Source organism: Homo sapiens, chromosome 8 (genome assembly GCF_000001405.40).
Source record: "Homo sapiens chromosome 8, GRCh38.p14 Primary Assembly".
In the NCBI taxonomy this organism is placed as follows: domain Eukaryota; kingdom Metazoa; phylum Chordata; class Mammalia; order Primates; family Hominidae; genus Homo; species Homo sapiens.
In genome coordinates, this window is record NC_000008.11 from 65,152,893 (window position 1) to 65,160,264 (window position 7,372).

General features: G+C 39.4%; 1 pseudogene; it reads left to right on the plus strand.

Annotated features, from left to right (window-relative positions):
* On the plus strand, positions 2,515-2,886 carry RPL31P41 (ribosomal protein L31 pseudogene 41; annotated as a pseudogene).

Sequence of the window (7,372 nt, forward strand, 5' to 3'; positions counted from 1 at the left end):
ATTACAAAACAGCAGCCTCCCTCTTGTCTTTACATGGCATGAGTCAACATCCCTCTCTTCTGCCATTCATTTACTTATCCATTCATGCAACAAATGTTTGTGAAAGTTTGTTAAGTGCATGGACATAATGATGCTATTATTTAAAATGATGCAGAGATCCCCTTGGTACATTCCATGTAGAGTTCATAAAACAGCTTACACAATCATGGTTGAAGCCTGGCCAAAGAGCAACGTGAAGTCACTTGATCTCTATCCAGCTCATTCCATGAAATTCAAAAGGTCACTACCAAAGTGTACTTGGTCAGGACAATGTATAGGAGTAACAGTTGCCCCACTCTCCTCTTACTATAGTGGTGCTTGTTCACCTGGTTTTAGGTTCACCTCTTCCTTTTGAGAGCCTTTTTAAGTGTCTGCTGACTCTAAGAAAAACCCACCTATGCAGGAACATGCTGATATAACCTAGAGAGTCCTTGGTGAGAGAAAGGAAAGTTTTAAAATATTAGAAGGAACAGAAGTAAACAATGGACCTTTCAGGAAAATCTTAAGATTTTGAAATATATTTGCAGTGATTTTCAGAGCCAAATTGGGAATCCAGACAATGGGGCGTTGAAGCTCAGTGGATCCGGGTCTCGGGAATCTCAATCGGTCTCTGTCTTCTCCAGCCCCTCAACTCTAGGCAATAGGAGTTTAGACCAGTAGGTGCACCCACATCCAGGCTCTCAGCTGCTTTGGCCAAGAGAGGATCTGTATTACTAGGTTTAGCTCCACCAGCCAGTGATGTGTAGTTTGGTAAAATCTTTGTGTTCATCACTCTGGGATCTGGGGTGGGCTCTGAGTCCTCTAAAGGTCTTTGGGTCCCAGATCTTCTCTAAGACCGTTCACTTTTGTTCAGATTTTAAAACTAGGCCTGACCTCAATTCTAGCAACCAGCTTCTCTGAGATCTAGTCCAATTGGCTGGGCCTTTAAGCCCTGCCTAGCTCTTGCCAGTCCTGCCTTAGATGGTGTGGAACTCTATTTTATGCCTTTAGTCAACAATTATGTCTTCCTTCAAAACAGAAAAATTCCCCAGAGATGGTCATCCTATGGCTTTTGGAATAGCCATCATCAGGAGAGTCCTACCATGCCTCAGCCACCAGACTAGGCCCTCTTGAATATCTACACTGACCTAGATATTGGTCCAGTCCACAGTGCCCCATTGCACACTGTTGTTTCATGTCAACCACTCTTGCAGTGCCCGATAGACAGCTTACTATTTAGGTTCTTTCCTTGAGCCCATCAGGTTTCAACATTTTACTGTTTTTCTTTGACTCATGCTATCAATGTACTCATAGACAGTCTTTCCTGAGTTATCTAGGAATCCACTGGAGAAGTAAGAAAGCACAAGTTGGTTTTAGACATTTTATCAGTATTGAGGTTCCCCTAGAATTGATTGATCCTCAGAAGTCTCCCAGGTTCCCAAGGCCAACCTAGACCAAGAACAGACTTCCTGGAACTGTTCAAATGTATTTGCTTGTGTTGGTATATTTCCCTCTCTAGGCTGTTGTCCTTCTAAAGTATGACACTAGTGACTTTATTTCCTCTCATACTATAGCAATCAGCATGAAGTCAAAAATTTTTTTAAAGGAAATAGAAAACTTGGCTTTATCACCTAGTTTGGCCCCTGCTTTTACCATGTGCTTAAGTACAACAGTAAGATAAAGTTCAAGAAACTCATTAGGTTGATTAAAATGGGAAAGCTGGATAATGTCATCATTTGGGGGCGTATGAAGATATACAAACCTTCATGTGCCTGTTGATATAAACATAGAATAGGCTGGGTGTGGTACCTCATGCCTGTAATCCCAGCACTTTGGGAGGCTGAGGCAGGCAGATCACTTGAATCCAGGAGTTTGAGACCAGCCTGGGCAACGTGGCGAAACCCCATCTCTACTAAAAATGCAAAAAATTATCTGTGTGAGGTGGCATGCACCAGTAGTCCCAGCTACTCGTGAGGCTGAGGTGGGAGAATCACCTGAGCCCGGGAGGTTGAGGTTGCAGTGAGCTGAGATTGTGCCACTGCAGTTCAGCCTGGACAAGGGGAGTGAGACACTGTTTCAGAAAAAAAAGAAAGAAAAGAAAAAGAAAAAATAAATCTAGACTGCTGCAGACATTCTGGAAACAACCTGGTAGTATTTAATTGAATTCATTGAATTACCTATTAACTAAGTACTATGTCATATTCCCTATGCCACAGTAATCCTGTTCCTGGATATGATTCTCAAACATATTCTCACACACTGGGAGACATGCTCCATAACATTTATCAGTGTTTGTGTTGCTGGGAAGTGGGAGGTGATCATGTTGTCTGTCACTTGTGAATAGGTAAAACATGGTAGATGCCACTATAAAGTATCCTTCAGCAACTGGAAACAAAGGACTGGATGTTCATACTGCTACATGGATAGCTCTTAGAAACAATAGGTCAGAATGATAAAAGAAAATAGAGCTTTCTTTTCCAAAATGGGCCAAGCAGAATGGCTCCCACAAAGAAACGTGGTGAGAAGGGCCGTTCCGCCATCAAAGAGGTGGTGATCCAATAATACACCACCAACATTCACAAGTACATACAGGAAGTGGACTTCAAGAAGTATGCCCCTTAGGCACTCAAAGAGATCTGGAAATTTTCCATGAAAGAGACGGGGAACTCCAGATGTGTGCATTGATACCAGGCTCAACAAAGCTGCCTGGGCCAAAGGAATAAGGAATGTCCCATACCATATCCACGTTGGGTTGTCCAGAAAACTTAATGAGGATGAAGATTCACTAAATAAGCTCTGCACTTTGGTTACCTACATAACTGTTACCACTTTCAAAATGTACAGAAAGTCAATGTGAATGAGAACTAGCTACTGATCATCAAACAAAGCTATAAAACTGCCAAAAAATAGAATGAGCTATCCAGCATAATGATAATTGTGTAAGTTAAAATACATGATCAAATGTTTTACAAGAACACATGAAAACAGAAGGATATCATCAAAGAGATTAAAATGATGATGGTGGGAGGAACAATGGAAATGGTAGTGAGAAATTGAGAAACAAGGATCAAATGAGATAGGTAGAAAGATGGATGGATGGAAGAAATGATAGATGATGGAGATAGATAGATAGATAGATAGATAGATAGATAGATAGATAGATAGATAGATGATAGATAGATACATAGATAGATAGATAGACAGATAGATGATAGATGACATATAAATGAGCTAGCCAGTTGGTCAAGAAAGAAGTCTGTGCAGACCAATGATATGGTTCCATAAACTAGGAAGCATGGTTAACAAATTTTTGCACTTGAAATTCAGAAATAAAATTAAAATGTCCAAGAAAACAGATAAGTTTCTAGGACAATAAGATAATATTGATTTGGCATATTCCAGATTGAGGTGAAAAACTGAAAACTGAGCTGTGTGGTTCAACCTACACTCTCTGCCTGTGAAACTTAAGAATTTGTCATGTCACATCTTGCTCCTTGAGACGTCTCTCTCTTTACCAATCAACACTGAGAGCTGGGAATGGGACTAGAATGGCTCAGCATCTTTGACCGAGGAGGCATAAGCAGCTGCTAAATGGCAAGCTGAAGTGCGACAGCCACAAGCAAAGAGGGATGAACATCCTGTAAAGACATCTTAAAGTCCCATCCAGTGGTCCAAAAGTACAGCAGAGCCTAGAACAAGGCAAACTTCAGTGTCTGACAGCTCCACTTGGTAAATGCAGCAACTGGACAAGTAATAACCACTCTGGAAGGGTTCAACCTCTGCAGTCTGGGCAAACCCAAGGGCACCCTTCATAAACATCAGTGGAAAGTATGCTTCCCCATGCTCACTTCTGCTTCTAGACACTCACCACCTGCCAGACTGGCAGCGCCAAGCCCCAAAATCACAACAGAAATGACAACAGTCAACTGCCTTTGAAAAAATTCATCCTTCAGAAGATCCCCTCTTAGAGAACTCACATGCTGATGAAAGATTGATAGTCCAGGGTTATGTTGTCTAATATGGCAGCCACATGTGGCTACATTGCACCTGAAATGTGGCCAATTCAAATTGAGATGTGAAGATCTAATATGATAAAAAAGGATACTAAACATCTTGTTAATCATTTTTATATTGGTTACATGTTCAAATGATATTTTGTAAATATTAAGTAAAATAAAATATATTAAGTTATTTTCATCTTAATATTTTCTTTTTACTTTTTTAAAAAGTAGCTGGTAGAATATTTAAAATTATGTCTGTGACTCACCTTCTATTTCTACTAGACAGTGTTGGTCTGGGGGTTTATATGTTGACTTACAGCTTCTCTCTCAGTTAGTAATGTAAAAGTGAAAGCTATTTTCCTATAAAGGTGGAAGACACTCTCTTCTTCATATGGCTGTTCAACAGAAAGTTAAAATCATGTTCAGTCCTCTAGCATTTTTTGTTAGTGGTGATTCCCACTAGAAGCTTCTGGCCTTTTCTATGTTTTCAATTCTACATTTTGGTCTAAATAGAGCATGACCGAATCACAACAGACTGAGAGGTCCATGCATGCTGGAGACAGCCCGCAGATAACCCTACAAAGATCTGAATTACACTGGGGTCGTTTGGGTCTGTTGTGCCAACACAACTTGTAGCATCCAGAAGTCTCTTCTGGGCTTCTGCTTCTAACTGTGGTGTGAAATATCACTAACAATCTAGGATGGAAAAGAAATGAAAATAATTCATACCTACCTATGTCACTTTTTGCTTAAAAGAGAACCTGGAAATGCAGAAAATGGAACACTCATTCACCTCTCATGTCCAGGAGTTAAAGTGATATGAATTCAAGATTTTTTAAAAAACAATATGCTCCTTTGAAATTAGAAAAAAAAATTCTTAGTTATAAAAAGCTATATAAGTTATATTATAGCTTATATAATTTGGATATTGAAATGTCACCAAAGATCTTTATTAACTTAGAGAAAGAGCATTTGTTAGTTTGAATATTATCACACAAATATATTAGTTTTTTTTTTCTTTGTTTGAGCCCGATCCCCGGAGTCAAACCCTAAGTGTCTGGGGACTTGTTGTAAGTAATGGTCATTTGTATTTCATAATTATCTTGAATCAACACAATTAGTTCCACATTCTGCTGTTTTCTTCCTAAGGCATCTGTAAACATTTTTACACAATTCCAGCAAATAGCTTTTGGCAACAATTAATTTTTTCATTAAAAAAGATAAAATAATCCAGGATAACTATTTTAAATGTGTTTTATAGACCCCTCCAAGAGTATAAGAAAATATTCTTCAAGATGCCAGACAAGAGATTTTTTTCTTTCAAGTATCAGCCACAGTTCCACAGTTTAGAATGTCTCTGGTCACAGTTTTAACATGGTTAAATCGACATAAAGCCTGAAGGACATTTAATAATAAAAGAATGTACTTAATTTGATTGAATAATTTCATTTTATTCCCTTGGATTATTTGTGTTCATTCAAAAAAAAATGTATTTAAAAGAGTACATTTAATGTGGTGGTCTCAGTTTTTTCCTGTGTATTGGAACCACCCAGATCAAGCTTGTCTGAACCGCAGCCCATGGGCCGCCTGCGGCCCAGGACAACTTTGAATGCAGCCCAACCCAAATACGTAAATTTTCTTCATGAGATTTTTCTGCAATTTTTTTTTTTTTTTAGCTCATCAGCTATCATTAGTGTTAGTGTATTTTATGTGTGGCCCAAGACAATTGTTCTTCTTCCAATGTAGCCCAGGGAAGACAAAAGATTGGACCCCCTGACCTAGATTGTACCTTAATGACTCTAATTCAGTGAGTTCAAAGTAGACCTCACAAATGTGCATTTATAACAACTATCCAAGATGTTTCTGAAGTAAGTGAGGCTCAATCCCCAACTTTCGAGTAATACTGTGACAGAAACTTCAGATTCTGTCTCTTAATCTTGAGACAGAGTTGTGGCATATAAACTCCCCTTATCCCACCTTAAAAATAAGAGGTTGTGATATGTCTCACATACTTAATTCCAGTAAAATTAAAATGATCCAAATGCAGTGGTCCTTACCCACCTACAGCCAGGAAAGCACATCTGAGAAGGAGACAGAAAATTCTGGCAACGTCTCTGCAAGGTCCATCTTGTACTTCAACATTTCTGAGAAGGATTTCTTCAAAAACTGCTCCGGAAATAGAATTTTCTAATAGATTCTTCAGAGACAGGTGAATACCCTACTGTGTGGTAAAATCTGCAACCAGGAGCTAAGCATGGAAAATGCCTTCTCCTCAGGTCACTTACCCCCAAAGCACCTAGAAGCATGGCCACCAAGATAGGGACTCCGAGCACACAGTCATTATGTTGTCCTCTGCCCAGATCCCCAAGTCCCTGCACAGACGCCATATTCTGATATGGGTTTTGTTATGTCTTATTTTGTTGTGTTGCCTTCCCTGAGAACAAAGCTTGACAAATTTTGAACAAGTATGATGACATGCTGACAAGGGAGGATTTTCTGGTGTCCTGAGGCATGGAGACCAAGGTGGTGCTGCCTGCCTATGTGGTACGAACATAAGAAGAGAGAGAACCCAGCCTCCTCCCAAAGAAGTAAGGGCAAAGGGCTGTGGCATTGAAGGCTCATCCTTGGGACACTGAATTTTGGAATTTCTATACTTGTCATCCCTAGTTCTAACAGTGTCCTAACTGGAGAGATGAAAATCAGAGCATATCGATACATCAGTAAAATATCAAAGTATATCAATATCCCTAATGGGGTGCCACTAAGGAGGGTATACCAATAGAGTATATCAGTAAAATTTAAAAGACTAAAATTGGTGAGCCCCACCCTTGCCATGATGGAGAACAGCACCAATCCCCCTAGGGAATAGAAATTGGTGGCCTCAGTCCTATCCAAACACTTCTCCCACAGTGGCTTTAGCATCCTATTTTAAGTTACAGTATTTGCCCCCAAATTAATATCCAGTAATAAAGGGTAATTTTCCTGCCCACATTGAACCATTGTAAGAACATTTAGCCACTTTAAAGTCAAGTGATAGCACTGTAAGGAAAAGGCACGAGGTAGTTAAAAATTTGAAGAATATGTCAATTGGTAAAATTAGATAAAAAGTTACGCTGTGTTCTGCCCTACATTTGGACTATCGCAAGTGAGGCAAACTTTTCTAGGCAAACTGCTGAGGACTGCCAATTTAACAAGCTGTTCCATGCTGCAAGGGACATATTTATGGACATACTTTCAACAAGACGTACCTAGTGCTACCAAGCTGTGCTGTACTAAAGAGCAGAAAGAATCAGAACGATAGATTAAAAAAAAATAAAGGATTTCACACATGGGCCCTATTAAAATCAGATCAA